At 38.4% G+C, this 20,479-nt stretch overlaps 1 protein-coding gene across 1 annotated transcript in view, besides 1 other annotated feature; it reads right to left on the minus strand.

Annotated features, from left to right (window-relative positions):
- ARHGAP18 (Rho GTPase activating protein 18) overlaps positions 1-20,479 on the minus strand; it is a 134,046-nt gene that overhangs the window by 59,549 nt on the left and 54,018 nt on the right. The window contains exons 2-3 of the mRNA NM_033515.3: positions 6,136-6,338; positions 2,714-2,949 (exon numbers count right to left, since the gene is read on the minus strand). Of these exons, the coding sequence (NP_277050.2) occupies positions 2,714-2,949; positions 6,136-6,338 (439 nt within the window). The remainder of the gene's footprint in view (positions 1-2,713; positions 2,950-6,135; positions 6,339-20,479) is intronic.
- Positions 11,482-11,561: an enhancer, noted in NCBI's record as "active region_25044". NCBI's record gives its function as "activates an Ori minimal core promoter by ATAC-STARR-seq in GM12878 lymphoblastoid cells {active_cell/tissue: GM12878}" and the evidence as "EXISTENCE:reporter gene assay evidence [ECO:0000049][PMID:35858748]".

The following is a 20,479-nucleotide window of genomic DNA, read 5'->3' on the forward strand; positions in this document are numbered from 1 at the left end:
AATATACACTCACTCAAAAGTAGAAGAACTGCAAGTGAAGATGGCTGGCCCAAGTTTGCTTGAGGCATGGGGGAGATAAAGCACTTTTCTAATGGGTGGCAGTGTTTCAATTAAAGGCATGCAGTGTAAGCAAGTTAACATTATTTTAATTTCCTTTTGCTAGTTCTCTCTTAATGACTCCATCAGATGATACAATCCACCAATTACCTTGGACTCAAACCATGTGGTTGTGACACTGCCAGAAACTTGCTGGAAAAATGTTGTTTCTAGCACCAAGTAGCAACATCCTCTTGGAGACTGGCAGAAATCCCACAATTTATATTTTGCTTAGGCTCAGCTCTCTATTCCCTCCCCCTTTTCACTTCCTCTTAACTCCCTTAGTGAGGGTTCTCCAATTGGGAAGAAAATGTCATAATACTAAATTTCCTTACCATTCATTTTTCTTCAGCTGGAAACCAGTCCAGTCCTTTAACACAAGTGGATATCCCAAATAACCACTGGGTGGTAAGCAAGTGCTTAACTTAAGCAAGTGCCTGGAGCAATTTAATGACCCCAAAACTCCTGTAAGATGGACTGGACTTGATTCGAAATTGGTCATGCAAAGAGAGTAGCAATCTGCAGCTAGAAGGGCTTTCTTGCAAGAATAAAATGTCTACAAAAAGCAAAAGAGTGTCTACATGACAGGAAGATACCTTAAATATAAACCCTTTCATTCCTTTTTTAACATAAATAATCGTTCAATTTTTGTTATCTTTTATAGTGTAAATAGAATCTCATATTCAGGATGCTTAATGTCAGAATCATGTACAAAATGCAAATATACCAGGATAGAGACTGGTTAAAAGCATGTACTTCAAAGTCAAACAAATTTGGGTTTACTATCTACAGGACACTGAGCAAGTTACTTAAAATCTGGCCAGGTGCGGTGGCTCACACCTGTAATCCCAGCACTTTGGGAGGCTGAGGCAAGCAGATCACCTGAGATCAGGAGTTCAAGACCAGCCTGGCCAACATGGCGAGACCTTGTCTCTACTAAAAGTACAAAAAATTAGCTGGGCATGGTGGCGTGCGCCTGTAGTCCCAGCTACTCCGAGGCTGAGGCAGGAGAATTGCTTGAACCTGGGAGGGGGAGGTTGCAGTGAGCCGAGATTGCACTCAAGCCAGAATGTAAATCAACTTTGACCTCAAGAACACCATCTAGATCCGCTGATTTTTTACCTTTTTTCTGGCAGCAAGACTTTTTTGATGAAAGAAACAAGGATCATTTATATTCTCTGTAAGCTCCTGATGCCCTTACAGGTAAGTAATAGGCAATCCACCAACTGGCTTATTTGAGTAGCACTGATCTGAGCCACACAGTTCTTGTACTGTTTTGTTGTTGTTGTTGTTGTTGTTGTTTTTTGAGATGGAGTCTCACTTTGTCACCCAGCCTGGAGTGCGGTGGCATGAACACAGCTCACTGCAGCCTCGACCTCCAGGGCTCAAGCAATCCTCTGGCCTCAGCCCCGCAAGTAGCTGGGTCTACAGGCACATGCCACCGCACCCAGCTAATTCTTGCGCTTTTTGTAGAGATTGGGTTTTGCTATGTTGCCCAGGCTGGTCTCGAACTCTCCAGTCTCAGCCTCCCAAAGTGCTGGGATAACAGCTGTGAGCCACCACACCCAGCCTCTCAAACTTTTATCATGCCTTCTCTGATACCTCCCTTCATTCATCAATCCCACAGTCTCTACCAGACCCCACAGCTTTTATTAACAAGTTAATCACCTAGACAAATATTTACTCAATCTTTTGTGTGCTGTCACTGTGCTAAGGCTAGACACCTTAAAGTTTAACCTAAAGCTGCCTCCTTACATATCTTCCGTTCATCCTAAAGGGTTTCTCTGTATATAGTGAACTCTAACCTAACTGGATGTGTAAACAGACTGTAACCTACTTGTGTCAATCACCAAATTTTGACCAATCAAAGGTGGCCAACTGTTCAAACCATATTCAAAAAAGGCAAACACAAAGCTGTAACCAATCTCGCTGTTTCTGTACCTCACTTCCATTTTCTGTAGATCACTTTCCTTTCCCTGTCCATAAATCTTCTTTGACCACACGGTAGCACTGGAGTCTCTCTGAATGTGCTGTGATTCTGGGGGCTGCCCAATTTGCAAATCATTCTTTACCCAATTAAATTCTGTTAAATTTAATTTGTCTAAGGTCTTTCTTTTAACACCACAAAGGAGAAGTTACTTCATGTCTCAAAGTTCCTGCTTTGTAATTCAGCTGCAATTAGCTCCCTCACATTCTACTTCATCCATCCCCAAACCAGTCTAGGGAAAAATCAAATATTCCTACAAGCATTAATAGATAGGGAAGAATACCCTAATCCTACTTTTCTCTAAGTAACTGTTGGTAGTCATGTTGTCTGAGAAGCTGTCCCTGTCACCCCTAGTGGAGTTAAAGTCACTTGTAATGCTCCAAGGACACCCTCTTCTCCTAATACATGGATTATCATGCTGAATTTTAACTAGCTTTGTTTTCTGCCCCATCAGTATAACTTCCAGAAAGGCAGGAAGCAAGTCTCTCTTGTTTCCTGCAAGCATAGAGCTTTGGTGCCTGGCATAGAATAGGTGATCATTACGTTTTTAATCATTTGAATTAAACCAGATTGATCCAATTAATTGTAAGCAATTATTCCTTTGCCTTAACATCAAAAAAGAAAACCTACTGTTTCTTTTGATTCTCTCTGTTGAGCAAATATGTCTCTGACGTCAGGAATCTGGTACTGTTTGTTTTTTTTCCTCAAGGTCTGGGAGACCGTCTCTACTCGCTTCTGAACTGCTGCTGCCTGGGTCCGCGTCAATGTTGATAAAAACACAATGCTTTCCTGTGGATCTCCAGCAGACTCTCCGAAGAGATTGGATAAACCGGCCTCTTTAAGCCACTCTTCTTCCAATTCTCCCTCTAAGACAGTAGAGAAAAGTGGTACTTAAATCACAAAATATAACAACCTTTACATTTTTTAAGCTGTTAAAAATTCTTACTAAAACTCTTCTATTGTAACCAAACCACAGTGCTAAGAATCATTATCTAAAACTTGGACAACTGCCATACACTCCAGCCACAATGACATCAAATTTTAGATTGATTTCATATATACTCAATTAAAATTTTTAAATGACTTCACATGTAATTAACCTCTATAACTTCCCTGCAGATTAACCCAGAGGATGATACTGTTCCCCTTCCAGAGATAAGCAAAGAATAAAAAGATAACTTACTTCCATCAAGTTACAGAAGGAAGTCAATGCTGGGGCTATATATTAAGCCCAGTTTCTTGGCTTAAATTCAGTACTACCTCAGAGTCCAACACTAATTTATGGAAAGCCTTGTTTTCTCTGTTCACTGTAGCTGACAGGAAGTGCAGCAAAGAAGTTAACAGCATCAGAACATTGGGAACTAATCAATTTCAAATTAATTTTTCTAATCTTCCAAGTCAGCACATCAGATTATGTATTTTTACAATGTTTTTTTAAAAGCACAATATATCCAGCAAAAAAAACTTATATAGGAAGATAATCAAACAACAATCAATTCAAAACACTGAAAGCAGGAAATATTCATGCAAATATTGTGTAAGATCTAATGAAAGTTATTTAAAAGCAGAAGGATAATTAGAATGGATTCTTTCCAACCATCATATTTATAGAGGAAAATAAAAGCGATGAATTGGGACACAAAAGACCTGGATCTGTACCCCATTTCTGCAACTTGATAGCCAAGTCTCTTTGGAAAAGTCACTTAGCCTCAAGTTGACTCTGTTTTCTGATCTGTAAACTAAAGCACACCTCCTTCCAGCTATGCCATAACCAAAGGTGAGAATGTTATATGGAAGGAGCTTTGAAAAGCCCTGAGATAGACTGTATCACATGGTATAGCACCTAGTCCTACCTGTCTGTCTTTCTATACTATATAAACTTCTTGACGGCAGAAATCAAGTATTAATAACTTTGACTTCAAGAGACATAAGCCAGTGCTAGGCACTGTGCACACCAGACAACAAAAACAGTTTACTAGCATAAAAAGTAAGTCAGCAAGGCCGGGCATGGTGGCTCAGGCTTGTAATCCCAGCACTTTGGGAAGCTGAGGTGGGTGGATCACTTGAGGTCAGGAGTTCGAGACCAGCCTGGCCAACATGGTGAAACCCCCTCTCTACAAAAAATACAAAAATTAGCTGGGCATGGTAGTACATGCCTGTAATCCCAGCTACTAGGGAGGCTGAGGCAAGAGAATCTCTTGAACCTGGGAGGCAGAGGTTGCAATGAACCGAGATTGTGCCACTGTACTCCAGCCTGGGCGACAGAGTGAGACTGTCTCAAAAAAAAAAAAAAAAAAAAAACAAACAAAAGTCAGCCATTATTATTTATGCTTTTAAAGTAGAACTCAGTATTGGTGTATAAAACCAGATTGCCAGAAAAAAAACCTGATATTGTTACACAACAAGGAAAATAAACAAGATTACTATGTAGAGTCATTTTTTCCATTAAAAAGTAGAAGTAAAACTTAAACAATTTAAAGTCTAAGAAAAGGTGTGGGCATGTAGAAAACATTCCCAATCTTCTTGATGATCACATAGTGCATAATAATCAATGACTCTAATTAGTGTTGGAGACTTATCAAACAGCTAATGACATACTTCTATGTATCAGGCTTAAACGCTGCTTTCTCAAACATATTCTCTCCTTATTCAGCAGACTAGTATGCTACTTCCATCTTGAAACATGGAGAAAGAAAGGGTGAGAGATACTATTAATTATCACAAATAAGCTTGACTTTATTGCTATCATATTTGGGAAACAATGAGAGAAAAATAACAAGAAGTTAAAGAATAAGTTAACCGTAGTGTTTTTAGATCTAAGAAATTAAATTAAGAAAAAACCCCAAGTCTTCTTTTTAAATTAATGTTGGTAGATTTTTCAAGCAATGTGTAGCCAAGGAAAAAAATCTTATTTATATAGATTTTGCTAGTTAATTAGATCCTAAGTCATTTAGTTAAGAAGTCATTGTGTTGAGAAGGAAGTCTCTATTAGTGGATCACAAAGCACTGATTGGGGCTCTCACATTTTGGCATTTATACATCAACTTATATAAACATACTTACAAATGTATAGATGGCACAAGGCATAGAAAGAAAGCTAATACAACAGACAAGAGAATTGGACATGAAAAACTTAGCAACTGCTTGAATTTCAGAGATTAAAAGAAACGGTACAAAAAAACTTTAAAGTTTTACATGTTTCTCCCAGAATATCAAATATTATAGCAGAGAATGGGAAATATGGCTGGAAAGTGACTCTACAGAAATTATGCACCAAATACAAGAAAGAAGTAAATATGGAAGCTAAAAACAGTAATGCCACCATCTACTGTCCAACTCTATATTTTTAGATTAGTTGGCTAAACATGAGCCGTTGCATCCAATCTGGAGAAGTATACTTTGAATGACAAAATAGCCAGGACCACAACAGGTCTTTGAAAACCACCCACAAAAATTGGTTTATGTGAATTTTCTTTCTAGAAATGTCTTGGCTAGGAACAAGATAAATATTCTCAAGTATATGAAAGGCTATCATGTAAAAATAGAAGAGCCTTCTTCTGTTCGTCCCAAAGGCATAACTACAGCAAGAGAGTCAAAGTTAGAGGACAGCAGATTATAAATCAATAAAACAAAGATCAAAAGAACTCAAGCTGACTGACCACTGGAAAAACAGTCTCACTGCAAAGCAGTGCTCTATCACCATCTGCACTCACTAGAGACCAAATGACAATGTGGCTACCACATCACAGAAGAAATTTAAAGGGAGGTTAGATGGTTTCAAAGATGAAGTCTAACTCTAAAAAGCTATGATACAGTGAGCTTAGCCAACAACATTCCAGCCATATCTATGACTAAGCTAACTTACTTATGCCACTTGTATCTGGCAGTTGCATCCATAAATCTGCCTCAAACAAGTATTTTTCAAGTTGAAAGGCAGTATCTTTTTTTGGTGGTCCTAGCTTTAATTTTTTTTTTGTTCTCTTCCTTTCTATGCATTCATTTCCTATAAATACATATACAAACAACAAAAGCTTTATTTAGTTAGTTATTACCATCAGGCTCTTTGACAACAACCACCTCTTGATCTTCTTGGCTGTTTTCACTAGATTTCTTGATGTTTTCTAGTTCTATCCAATAGTCTTCCATAGATAGTTCATCCAAAGAATCCTGGGAAATTGATCGATCAAATGGAGGCTTCTCCATAACTTTGATGGTGGTGCTTTCCTGGTTCATAGTGTACTGGCCATATCTGCGACTGTAAATTCAAAAGAACCCATGGTTTATTTTAGTACAAAAGGAAGCAGTATAATTTCTAAGACATCACAGCAACAAGCTGGAGAATTTATTAACTCCTTAAGTTATCCTTAATAAAACTAAAGGAATATATATTTTGGAACAGTTTACTATGGATTATAATATGCTTGTAGAATAAACAGTTTCATGCTCCACAGAAAAGTATGGGGAAGTACAAATAGCAACATGGTAAATTATTTTTCCATTTACATTAAATGAAGACTCATTTTTCAAATATATTTTTTAGCGACAAGGTCTTGCTCTGTTGCCAAGGTTTGAGTGCACCAATGTGACCATAGCTCACTTTAATTCCAAATTACTGGGCTCAAGTGATCTTCCCACCTCAGTCTCCTGAGGAGCTACTACTACAGGTATATACCATATTGCCCAGCTAATTTTTTTTTTTTTGGCAGACATGGGGTCTTGCTGTGTTGCCCAGGTTGGTCTGAAACTCCTGGCCTCAAATGATCCTCAACTGATCCTCCCACCTCAACCTCCCAAAGCACTGAGATTAAAGGCATGAGCCACCACACCCAGGCATAAGACTCATTTAAACCTGAAACTTTGTTTTTAAAAAGCAACACATTAAATCTTGATTACAGACTATTAATTGGGAATGAATTTTATATAATTCTTGTGTTTATCATTTATATTCATAAACCAAACTTAGTCAACTCTTATACAGCAAATATCTTCAACCGATGAAGCACTATTTGAATTTCCATTTTATTTTTGAAATCAAAATATAAATAGGATGATTTAAGTTTGCTGTTATAATCTACTGTAGAAAGAAATTTCTAATCTTTATTTATAAATGGACCCATGATTTATATGTATTAAAAATTCAAAACTGGGGTACAAACTCATTTATTAGCAATTCTGAATAGCTTGGAATTACCTCAAACATTTCTCTCTCAGATATTATCTATGAAGAATAAATTGAATAAATAAGAGTATTTGTATAACTTCAAGTAAACAATGTTTTTTGTTATAATTCATATCTTACCTACTTCTAAAATTGAATTAAAGGAGCTTATAATAAAAACCTATATATAATAAAATAATTTTTTGTTTTATTATTATTTATAGAGAAGACCATGCCCGATTCCTTAAAAGAAGAAATTTTTCAGCTTTGATGCCTTTCCTTTATATACGGTTGATATGGTTTGGCTATGTCCCCACCCAAATCTCATCTTGAATTGTAGTACCCATAAGCCCCATGAGTCCTGGGGGGACCCAACAGGAGGTAATTTAATCATGGGGGCAGTTACTTTCATGCTGTTCTCGTGATAGTGAGTGAGTTGTCATGAGATCTGATGGTTTCATAAGGGGCTTTTCCCCTTTTGGCTTGTTACTTCTCCTTGTTGCCATCATGTGAATAAGGGTGTGTTTGCCTCCCTTTCTGCCATGATTTAAGTTTCCTGAGGCTTCCCCAGCCATACTGAACTGTGAGTCAATTAAACCTCTTCCCTTTACAAATTACCCAGTCTCAGGTATGTCTTTACAAGCAGCGTGAGAATGGACTAACAATAAATTTTTTTAAAGAATACAATTTGAGTGAGGACAATAGTTGAATAACTGTTTTGCTATTCTAATTTTCAGATTGCTTCTCTCAAGAAGGACTTCCAGGAAGTAATTCTTTGTTTGCCAGATTGGTTTTACTTACTGTACATATTGAAAATAATTTTAAAATTACAACAAAATAATAGTGTGTGAACATTCACATTTAAACTAACCTTTCCCAAAATTGTTTAAAATAGTAGGATTTTAATAGTACATAAGGGAGAGGGTCACTAAACTCTGGGCGAATCTATCCAGCAGCTTAATTCCAACTGGTTAGAAAAAGGCAAGGAACTTAATTGTTTATTGCTGCAAATAAATGCAGTATAACTGAGCACTTAGCTTTAATATGCTAATAAGCCAGTTTTATTCCTTTAAAGATGATTCTTCCTGCCTTGATTACAAACTTTATTAATGCTGGTTGCATACATGAATAAACAATCACTATACTCTCTCCCCAGTAGCAACCTTGGGGTGGCGATGGGTGGGAATTAGGACAGGGGCCAACAAGCCTAAGTCTAGACATGTTTGTGAATCTCTTTCCTTAAGTCTCCATTGTTCATTGTTTGCCTTCTTCATCCCTTAATTCAAGGGGTACTTCCTCCTTCCCTGGCCTCAATCGTCCTGTTTACATCTCTGTATTCCACCTGGGTCCCCATATCCGGCCCCAATGGCCACTACATAGCCAGTATTTTTCTTGTAGAGTTTTCACTCCTGATTCTTAAATTAACATGTAAATGAGAAAGTCATCCCTCTCTTAAAAATAAAAAATATATATTTTTAAATTTCTGGTTCAGCAGCTCAACTTATCTGTATTGTTCATATTCCTTACTTCTGCCTTACCAGGATAGCTAATGTTAATTTACAGATGACTGCCAGCTTCATTTTTCGTATTGCATGTCAAATAGACAGATGCCTTATCCTTTTGTTTTCTCTCTCATAGTGTGAAATTGACCACCTTACTTCTGTCTCCTTTAACTCTTACCCCCCTGTGAGACCACAATAAGTACTGTAAACTGTGTGAAGTATAATGACTAACGCCAAATAATTGGGTTTATCTGCTCAAGGGAAAAAGGTGCAGTTGAACTAGAAGTACATTAAGCCTTTCACTCCTGAAGGAATGTGTTTATTCTGGCAAGAATTTTCCAGTAAATTTCCATTAAGATAGCATGTGCAGAAAAATGCAAGGTCATTGAGTAACACCATTGTTACATAAATACACCATCTATATCAAGCCTTGCTTTCAAAACATGCATAAAGCAAAAATTGAATAGCTTAGTGCTGATGAATTGACTCAATATTTTGACTTTAATAAGATTCAGAAGCTGAATAGGTTTGTGATAACCTAAAAATACTGAGTCATGGAAAAGAGGAATTTTCTTTTTCTTTTGTCTGTATTTTTTTTTGATCACTGGTAAATACTGCAAGAACACATTTTCATTTTTAAATAAGAGGGGATGAGGAGTGGGAAGGAGACAGCCATTCAGTAATAGACTACCCTCCTTGGTCAACCTGCCACGTATTTTTTAATTTGTCTAAAAATGTAAGTGAACATTCCTTCAGTTTACATCAATGAACATGTTGTGTTACTTCTTTTCTTTGTAGAATATATTCTACTTTTGTACTTCAGACAGGCAGTGACTAAAAGTCTGGACCTTCCTAAAACTGTTCTGCTAAGAGGCCAGTTAACTAGTTTCCTCTTTTCTGTTTTTAGGAGTATGTTATATGATATCATGTTCATTCTGCAAATGGGGTTCAAAAACATAAAGCAACATCTGCTAGATGTAATGAAGTACAGAGCAGAAATATTTTATATTTCCAAAAGATCCAAGTTGACACATGGTGTTGAAATCAAAGAAACACACAGTTTATACCACAGGCAACTACCAGTGACCCCTCCCTGACTTTCTAGCAAGCAATTATTCCAAGTTCCTTCCTCCTCCCTCTCCCTCCAGAATTCTGTGTGCTAATCGTGCCATGGATATGCTTCAGAAGCTCCCGCATTTCTCACCTTTTACAAGTATAATGACAGAACTAGACGCTGTCCTCTAAAGGAAGTTGCCAGAGTTGCTCTATAAAGAATCGCTTCCTAGCTTGCTGTACAAGTCACGCTCTTTCCAATACACCAGAGTATAATCATTTTGCCTTTTTTTACCATGAACACTCACATCACAAGCAAATATTCACTTTACAGATCCTGATGGGCCTTCCTGGAATCTTCTTTTCCATCTTGCTAGCATGTCCTCCATGCTCTGTTTACAAAAATGAGGGCTTTGTTTTGTTGTATTTTCCCAAGGTATATGCTATCCCATTTTCCCGTGATACATTTTCCACCTGGTCAGTGAATTTCAAAGGCACTGATATCATTCAGGGTATGAGTAATAATGCCTGTTATTTATTTTGTCATAGCAAATATTAAACTGGTCTGACATTTTTTCTTTACAAAGAGGTGGGGGTTGCCATTGATTATACTGAGGTCAGCTAGAAGATTGATGATTTATTCTGCTATCAATGCAGTCAGCTCAGTCAGCAAAATGAAATGGAAACATATGGAACTGGGAGTCTAAGTACCAAATGATTCCAGCTCTACTTAACTGCAATCTTTGGTAAATCACTCACTTTCTCTACTCCTCACTTTTCCTATCTAAAAAATGGGAAGAATAACAATGGCCTTGCTTGCTTTGTTTGTTGTGAAAATTCTTACTGAAGTGCCTCATAGGTAACCATGAAAAAGGTCCCCTAGGTAAATTTGTGCTGTACTAACTGCCCCTCCCACTGTTTAATAAGGTCTAGAGGAATCACATATCCTCTAGAATATTCTCAAGCTTTGTGGTCTCAGGACTCCTTTACACACTTAAGATTGTTCTAAGACCCTCAAAGAGCTTTGGCTTATGTAGGCGATATCTACTGATATTTATAATATTAAACGCAGAAACAAAATATTTTAAATGCTATTCACTTAAGAATAAACATCTTCACATAGATAACATTAAAAAGGCCATTTTTCAAATAAAAATAGTGAGATGAGTAGCACTGTTTTATATTTTTGAAACTGCCTTTAATGTCAAGCTTAATAGAAGACATCTGGATTCTTACATCTGCTTCTGCGTTCAATCTTTTACAATATTACAGTTCATGTCGTCTCTGGGAAACTCCACTGTATTCTCATGAGAGAGTGAGAGTGAAAGAGGCAAATAACATCTTAGCGTTATTATGAAAACAGTTTTACTCTCCTAGACACCTGAAAGGGTCTGGAGAGCCTCAGGTGTTCCCAGACCACGCTTTGAAAACCACTGTTTTAAGAATTCTCAAAAACAACACATAATGGGTCTGAAAATGCACGTTTCAATTCTATGGGCAAAACTCCAGAAAGCCCTCTGAGAGAAACAGACTTGCTTTCCTAGTGACTGGACTTATTTCTTTGTTTTTGTTTAGTTCTGTATCTTTTCACAAAAACTGGGACTTATTCCAATATATCCATATTTAATTTATACTATAATGACAAAGAATTAAAATGTCTTTAAAAAAAACCCCTCCCTTGCCAATACTGTTAATCATTTGCTGGTGTCCATTATGTGTAAGGGGCAGAAGTTCTCTCTGGGCATCCCCTTTTGGCCAGTATATTTGAAAATTGCCTTAATGTGCCTTTGTCATCCCTACCCTCTACCTAAAACTCCTTCAGGGCAGATTTATTTGTAAGTAGGATGTTTCTTCTGAGTTCATATATTTAACTATCTGGTCCAATTTCTACCTTGTGTTCCCTACCCTGTTTAAAGTCCTATCGTGATGCTTTCTATCCAGTCTGTCTCCTGCTTCTGACCCTTCGAGGCATTTTTGTGCCCCAAAGTCAGCTTTCTTGAAGACCTCTGATCCTAGCACCTGTTTTGTTTTGTTTTCTTATAAGATCCTTTCTAAAAACGATATACTTTCTTTCATGTTCCCTATCCCACTTTTATTTCCATGCAGGACAAGAAGTGACTGAGTTGGGATATACATACAGTATAAGACAGAAGAATAAAATTTATTTTTGTTTTGGCTTCGTTCTGTTTTAATGTGTAAAAAAAAAAAAGGCAGTGGGGTGGGGGTTCTTCCTCAGATCATGACATATAAACCATAATGACTAAGAATATTTTAGAAGAAGCCATATGTATTGAAGTGTAAACATTAGAATGCTATTGCACCTCAGAGATTTAAACCTATCCCATTATTTTCTAGATGAGATAATGAGGCCTCAAGGTTAAATCTTCCCCAATTTTACCCAGCAAAGGGGTGATAGAATCGAGATTAATGCCCTCATTTCTTCTTCAGTGGTCACTTTAATATGTCAAACAGACTAAAAAGGATAGGATTTACTTTGTTTTCCCCAGATGCATCAATCTTTCTGAGTTTGTATTGCGTATAGCCAAGGCAAAAGTAATCTTGTTGACACAGTCTATAATTTGCACTTTCAAATGACCATTACATTTATCAAGAAAAAAATACATTTAAAAATCAAACCATATTTTTTTAAAAAGGATGAGAATTCTTTTCCAATGCACTTTTTTTTTTAATTTTTCAATTTTTTTGGTTTTTTGAGATGGGGTCTCGCTGTGTCTCCCAGGCTGAAGTGCAGTCCACAATCATAGCTCACTGCAGCCTCAAGCTCCTGGGCTCAAGCGATCCTCCCAACTTAGCCTCCCTGAGTAGGTGGGACTACAGGCACACACCACTTCACCTGGCTAACTTTTTGTAGAGACAGAGTCTCCTTGTATTGCCAAGGCTGGTCTGGAACTCCTGGCCTCAGGCAATCCTCCTGTCTTAGCCTCCCAAAGTGTTGGGATTACAGGTGTAAGCCACTGTGCCTGTCCAGTGCACTTTCTAAAATATGGTTTGTGGCCAGGCACAGTGGCTTACACTTGTAATCCCACCACTTTGGGAGGCTGAGGTGGGAAGAGTGCTTGAGCCCAGAAGTTCAAGACCAGCCTGGGCAACTAATAAGACACACATCTCTATTTAAAAAAAAAAAATTGTGTCATGCTGGGCATAACTTTAAATATTCTGTTTTTTAAGAAACTTTGTTTTGTAAATTTTGAAATTTTAAAATTTAATACTGTGTCTTTACATTATCTCTATGTTAGAAAAAAAAAGCATGTTTCTCATGTGTAGATTTATCTCTTTCATTTCAGCAGCGATATTAAAGAACTACTGTAATCACTATCATGGTGAGATGGTAAAGCTATTAATACTGTGTAATGGCCTTGTCCATCAGAATATGCTGAATTTGAATGACTATGAAGAGCTGCAGCCTACAAATGACCCAAGTCATTTTTACCCCTTCGAAGAGAATGCCTACTGTTGTTTAGCTGAAAGCAGTCATTATTAGAAGTGGCTCTGACATCCAGGAAGAAAGAACACTGATAATGCCTGAAGGCAGTAAGAAGTTGATTAGAAAGCAATACCACATCACTCGCCCCACACACACCCATGCAACCATCAGAACCCAGAGAAAGAATCTAATCTCTTCTATCTGACTCAAATGCTATAGTCTTAAGGATGTACTGAATTTCACAGAAACTTACTTCTTTTCCTCTTTGCATATCTTACCCTTTTCATTTTGGGAAAAAAATGAAATTTACTTATTTCTTTCAGCTTTCCTTTTCTTTAAAAATAAAAGTCGCGGCCAGGTGCGGTGACTCACGCCTGTAATCCCAGCACTTCGGGAGGCCGAGGCGGGCAAATCACGAGGTCAGGAGATTGAGATCAGCCTGGCCAACAGGGCGAAACCTCGTCTCTATTAAAAATACAAAAATTAGCTGGGTGTAGTGGCGCACGCCTGTAGTCCCAGCTACTCTGGAGGCTGAGGCAGGAGAATTGCTGGAACCCGGGAGGCAGAGGTTGCAGTGAGCCAAGATCATGCCACTGCACTCCAGCCTGGCAACAGAGCAAGTCTCTGTCTCCAAAAAAAAAAAAAAAAAAAAAAAAAGTCACTTAACATCTTGTATAGTGCTTTATAGTTTTTCAGTGTTCACCCACTTCTTGCTTTGTTTTTTGCTACTCACTTTTGACAGTGGGTAGAAAAGAAAAAAAAAAAATCCTCAGCAGAACAATAAGCAAATGACCTGATTATCCTGTTTATGTCACATTACCTAAGCAAAACTGAGAAGACAAGCCCATTAATGACACTGTTAAGAACTAGCTTTGGAAACTTGGCTTTATCACTTCTAGAGAAATATATGACACAACCAATTCATAGGTGCTGGGTTTTTTGTTTGTTATTTATCGTTGCGGCTTTCACTCTACTTCGTCTTCTTTTTTTTTGTTTTTTTTTTTTTTGGAGACGGAGTTCCACTCTTGTTGTCCAGGCTGTAGTGCAATGGCGTGATCTCGGCTCACCACAACCTCCACCTCCCGGGTTCAAGTTATTCTCCTGCCTCAGTCTCCCGAGTAGCTGGGATTACACACATGTGCCACCACACCTGGCTAATTTTTTTTTTTTTTTTGTATTTTTAGTAGAGACAGGGTTTCTCCATGTTGGTCAGGCTGGTCTCGAACTCCCGACCTCAGGTGATCTGCCCACCTAGGCCTCCCAAAGTGCTGAGATCACAGGCGTGAGTCACTGCACCTTGCCTCACTCTACTTCTTGACATCACTAAAAGAATAGGGACATAGTAACCACCACCAGGTCTTGTAGAAAAAAGGGAGGGAAGGCCTAGAACGAAACGAATATGGGAAAGGCAGGAGACAGCCGAGGCAGGTTTCAAAAATTCACTTCCTTTTTAGATACAGACACAAGGAACATATACGGGAAAATAGTAGACTATCACTGGCCAGACATAGGTTTCTTGCTTTAGAGCTCTGGTTCTGGGTAGAAGTGAGATCTTCTTTGTTCCTGAGCTTGCCAAATCTCTCAGGAAGCAGTTTTTCCTCCTCCATTGGAGATACAACTCAACAAGTAGCCAAATGGGAACCTAGGATTTTAATGTCAAAATCATCTTCCAAGACAAGGATGAAGGTATCTGTAGTGGGACTTTGACATAAAAATCTCAGGATCTTGGAACATTAGTTCAAAGCATATCCACTTCATTCTATTATCTGTCACCATGACTTGCATCCACCTGATACCCTGGACCTGATGTTCTTTCTCCAGGACCCTCTATCTTTTTCTTGTTCTGCCCAGCTGTAGAGCCACCTGGAAATTAAACACCAGTAGCTACCTTGCACTTGGAGCATAGGCTCTCCAGTTTGATCTGTTTTCCAGCTGTCATTACTCAATTTCATATCTCAGTACCTTTCTCTGTGGGGCTGGAATAAGCTTGCTTCTGCAGCCTCCCCGCATTCCTTACCACATCCTACGCTGTGATGATCTGCTTGTGCGTGTGTCCCCACCATTAAATTATGTGTTCCTTGGGGGCAAGAATCTATGTTTCTTTTTTCTTTTTTTTCCTCTTAGTATCCCTGGCTTCGAGCAAACTGCCATAGCAGATGTTGGTGAACTGTTCAATTATTAAAGTACTACTGCCTCTAAAATAATTTCTAAGGCATTTCTTATTTAATTGCACAAAACTACAAAGAAGTAAGAGAGGGATGAAAAGCAGATAGTAAAGAAATCAGTCATTAGGAAACTCTAAAATTAATAAGGTAAATGTTCTATGTCTCCATGATGTTACTTGTGGATGTTTAGTCTACAAGTAGGTTTCCTAAAGGAAACAGAAACATACAAAAGGAAGGGCTGTGGTTGCATATGAGATTGTAACTAATATTAAATTACAAACAAGTTTCGGCTCAGAGTTTTTTTAAGCACACATTCCATAATTCCATTCATCACTTTAATCTTTAAAACAAATAAATATTTACTGAATGCCTTACTCTCTGGTTGGGTGCCTTATCACAGATGTTGCTTTAACCAAGCTCTTCAAACATTTAGTGTGAGGTAGATGACAAAAGACACCAGCACCAGTGATGGGTGGAATTTTCCAGTTCCTCACTGAACTAGTGGCCCAGACAACTCTTTCCAGCATAGGCCTCCAGGTCATGGCCTTTACTTCAGGATTGTCCCTAACACTCCTCAGGCCCTGCGGTGGTTCACCATTCCTTCTTCAGTAAGAATTTCATCTCCTCTCTGCCACTGTTATCCACTCGTTCTCCAGTCATCCCCTGCTCAATTAATTCCTGAGATTTAGACCAATAATTTGAGGTTAACATCTATAGCTCCTTGCTCTGGCCTAAATGCTACTTATTCCCCACCAAATTCATATACTGAAATCCTAACTCTCAAGGAGATGCTATTAGAAAAATGGAACCCTTAGGGAGGGGATTCATGCTCTTATAAAGGAGGCCCCAGATGGCAGCCTCGCCTCTTCCACAATGTGAAGGACATGGTGAGAAGGTGCCATCCGTGAGAAAGCCAGCCCTTCCAGACACCCAATCCACCAGCCCTTTGATCTTGAACTTTCCAGTTTCTGAAACTGTGAGAAATACATTTCTGTTGTTTATAGGCCACCTAGTTGATGGCATTTTGTTACAACAGCACAGACAGACTGAGACACCCTTCCTGGCATCCCTGCCCCTCCCCTGGTCTGTTTCTGAAGTTCTCCAGGGTTTGCCTGAAGCCCCCTCGCAGTCCATTATTAAAGTTGTTCTTTCCCAAGATGGAGGCCAGCTTCCTCAGAACAACTGTCTAGTACTCAGTTCTTGTTTCACAGCAATCATGTAGCTTCAGAGGTAGTGATCACATCTAAATTTTTGTCAACCTTTACCCATTCATTTTTATTGTTCTCGCCAAATCAAATTCTTCACCTTTTCAGTTTCAAAGCTGTGCTCCTGTTTCCTTTCTGAGAAATCTATCAAGTCCTGAAGACATTTTCAGGGATGAAATGAAGAAAGATTCACTAGTGAAGATTAAAGGTTTTTCCACCTCCCCTCATATTCTTGAACTGGTCATTCAAAATTCCCCCATCATAATTTCTATTAGTTCAGAATCTCATCACTACAGTTTGCCAACACACCTTAAACATGCAATACAGATAAATTTACGCCAAGATACAAATTCCCTCACATATAAGACTTAATATGCTTCAAGATCTGGGATCCAAGAAAAGTATTTAAATATCATCCAGGAATTTCATTCTGGCTGCTGACTCACTACAGATTTATAAATTATAATGCTCTGATATCCCTTCAGTTCATAAAAAGTTGCTATTGATTCATAATACCTGTCATGAAATAAGCACTAACAAAATACTTGTTGACATAACACAAAATTATAAACAATGTTTTGAAATTTAATGTTAGAATAGTACTGAATATAATCGTGGTTTTCCTTATTTCCTATAGCAAATATATTGCCCTTCAGTAGGACTTTCATATAACTTTCTATGCTAATAAAAACATCAACACAAGGCAATGGTGAATTTAAAAAAAAATCTGATAATAACGAAAGCTACATACACACCATATTATGAAAGAGACATGGGCATTATTATTAAACTCTTCTCAGTTCTTTGTGATTATCCACTGCAATAAGGTAGAGAAATCATCTCATATCTCAATGAGAGTAGGGGAGTATAAAACCAACATTCCACCAGCCAGCAAAAGAAAAAACACAGACAAACACTGGATGAAAATATTAAAAGTGAAAGGAGATTTGTGTTTATGTTAGAAAATATAAATGGAGAAGATATTTATAAAGTAATGTTGGTAAATAGTAATAGAACAATTAAAAACAGCAGCACTTCCGTGGTAAATACCTAGATAGGAAAAAAGAAAACTGCTTCCTTTATGCTATAACTGTAATTTTATGAGTAGCTCAAAATCAACTTCAAACATTACAATGCTCCACTGGTAAGTATAGAAGGCCGGGAAGTGTTTTTATATGCAAGGTACTAAAAGTCAGCTCTACTAGGGGGACAGAGAGGATGGAGAAATAACTTCCAGCCAAGCAAATAATTTAGCCAAGCTTAGAAACAATTCATTTATGTTTTCTACTAAATGTCTTCAGCAGTCAGTAACAAAGTAGAATATGTGAATACTACTACAAAACAATCTTTCTTAAGTGAGATTATCTAAAGCCACTTTTTTCTTAGCATGTTTGAAATGCTGAGCCCATGACAGATGTGAATGCAAGCAGCCTAAAAGATACATGAAATATAAAACAAGAACTAAAGACAATTTCCACATGCAAAAAGCTACTTGTGGGTTAGGGCAGGGAATTTAACCTTAACATTTGAAGAAAAAAAAAAAATCCGACTCACCAGCCTGGGCAACATAGTGAGACATTGTCTCTACAAAAAATAAAACAATTAGCCAGGCACAGTGGCATGTGACTGTAGTCCCAGCTACTCAGGAGGCTGAGGTGAGAGGATCCCTTGAGCCCAGAACTTCAAGGCTACAGTGAGCTATGATCATATCACAGCCCTTCAGCCTGGGTGACAGAGCGAGACCCTGTCTGGAAAAACATACACACACACACCTCACAAAAACAAGCATTTTCAGTAAAAGCCACTGAGCTTTGTTTAGAGGATAGGAACAGAGCTCATAGGGCAGTGAGGCCTAACATGAATATGAGGGACGGACAAAGGTTTTACAGGAAGGGATTGTGGGAACCTGAAAAAGGTGAGGGGAGGAGAGGTAGACGGTAGAGAAAAACACTTTTAATAAGGAAACACAGTTAATGCCATTCTTGTGCAATGCCACATCATCTAGCACAATATGGGCATACTGAGCTCCAGCAAATGCCACCCACAGACACATCAAATTCTAGGCGGATTAAACCCCAGAAGCTGGAAGTTTATGACCCTGTCCTAGCTTAATTTCTGTCCTGATCCTTAAGAAATATCTCTACTTTCCAACCCTTAGTCTCGGGCTCATTACCAGGCTTACACTAGCCTACTGCTTACCTATTTTTCACATGGAGTAGCAAAATTCCCACTTAACCAAAAGCAATATGGCATCAGGTTCCAAAATGTCATTCCCTGTGGGGATCTGAAACAGCTGAAGAAGAGCGTAAGTAGTTCATGGCCTCAAGCGTTGCCCCGCTAGCTACAGCCAACGCTGTCTTGGCACTCTATAGAAAGCTGATTCTGTATCAGTGTCCCATTCAAGGACTTCCGCCTCTAGTCTTCCATTTCCATCCCTCTGGTTCTCCTCTACTTTTCCCATCGCTACACACCTGGATCCTCCTCTCTGCCCAGTTCCTATAAAGAAATGATCCAAGTTGACTGATTTCTACTTCTCCCCAAAATGCTGTCTGCTACATCACTTTCCTGAGCCCTAAATTCTGCACCGGCCAAGGCTCCCAGGACCTCGACTGAACCTCAGCAGAGGTCTGAGCTACCCATGCCCCTGCTTGTCAGGAAAGAGAGGTGGAAGAAAGAACTGTTGTGTCAGAAATCCATCACTTCAGAAGAGATTAGTTAATGAGCTATTGAACGGAAAGGAGAGGCTCGGCCGGGTGCGGTGGCTCACGCCTGTAAGCCCAGCACTTTGGGAGGCCAAGGCGGGCAGATCACCTGAGCTCAGGAGTTCGAGACCAGCCTGACCAACATGGAGAAACCCCATCTCTACTAAAATACAAAATTAGCCAGGTGTGGTGGTGCATGCCTGTAATCCCAGCTACTCGGGAGGCTGAGGCAGGAGAATTGCTTGAACCTGGGAGATGGAGGTTGCGGTGAGCTGAGATCATGCCATTGCACTCCAGCCTGGGTGACAAGAGCAAAACTCTCTCAAAAAAAAAAAAAAAAAAAAAAAAGAAAAGAAAAGAAAAGAAAAGAAAACAGAGCCTGTAGAGACCATAAAGTTATAAAAGATGATGAAAGGATTAAGAGCATGTAATATCCTCCAGGGCAGAAGTCAGTATTTATGCTGTATCACAGCCATGGAAGCCAGTGTAGATGACAGCATCAAAAATAGAACTTCCTTTACCATCTTGCCAGAATAAGTCTACAGAAAGATCAAGGTTGTCAGATACTCTAAGGTAAAGATCAAAGACTTAGAACTTTTTCTTGTTCTTTTTTTTTTAACTCAGGTGTTTGAGGGCCAATTGTTAAAGGCTCTTACCTCATGAATGACTTCAGTTATTTGCAAAAGCCAGTTCCGTAAAGTAAAATGCAGTTTTTATAAGACAAATATTGTTAAACTCTAAACAAACTTTCATACGCCAACCAATCTAATAGAGAAATGCTAATTTCTTAATGCAATAGTTTTATGAATACAGTTTTACTGGACAATGCCTACATTTATTCATTGGTCTTCTCTCATTACAGATATTAATCAGAATTATGCACTTAGGTTTTATTATAAAAATCATTGCAGTTATGGTTTTAAAAAGAACTTCACCCACATAATATACATTTTCCATTTCAAGTAACACAGGAGACACTGAAAAAAACAGTGAAACTGGAATGAAGTCAATGATTCAATGTTTTGATGGAGTGATACTATAGAACTTGAGTTCTTGCTTGTTAATAATAAACAGATCACTAAAGCTGTGATTCACACATTCATTCAACAACTACTGACTCCCTATTAATTGCAAGGCAACTATACATGCTGATGTTTGAAGTCCAA

Source organism: Homo sapiens, chromosome 6 (assembly GCF_000001405.40).
Source record: "Homo sapiens chromosome 6, GRCh38.p14 Primary Assembly".
Taxonomy (NCBI): Eukaryota; Metazoa; Chordata; class Mammalia; order Primates; family Hominidae; genus Homo; species Homo sapiens.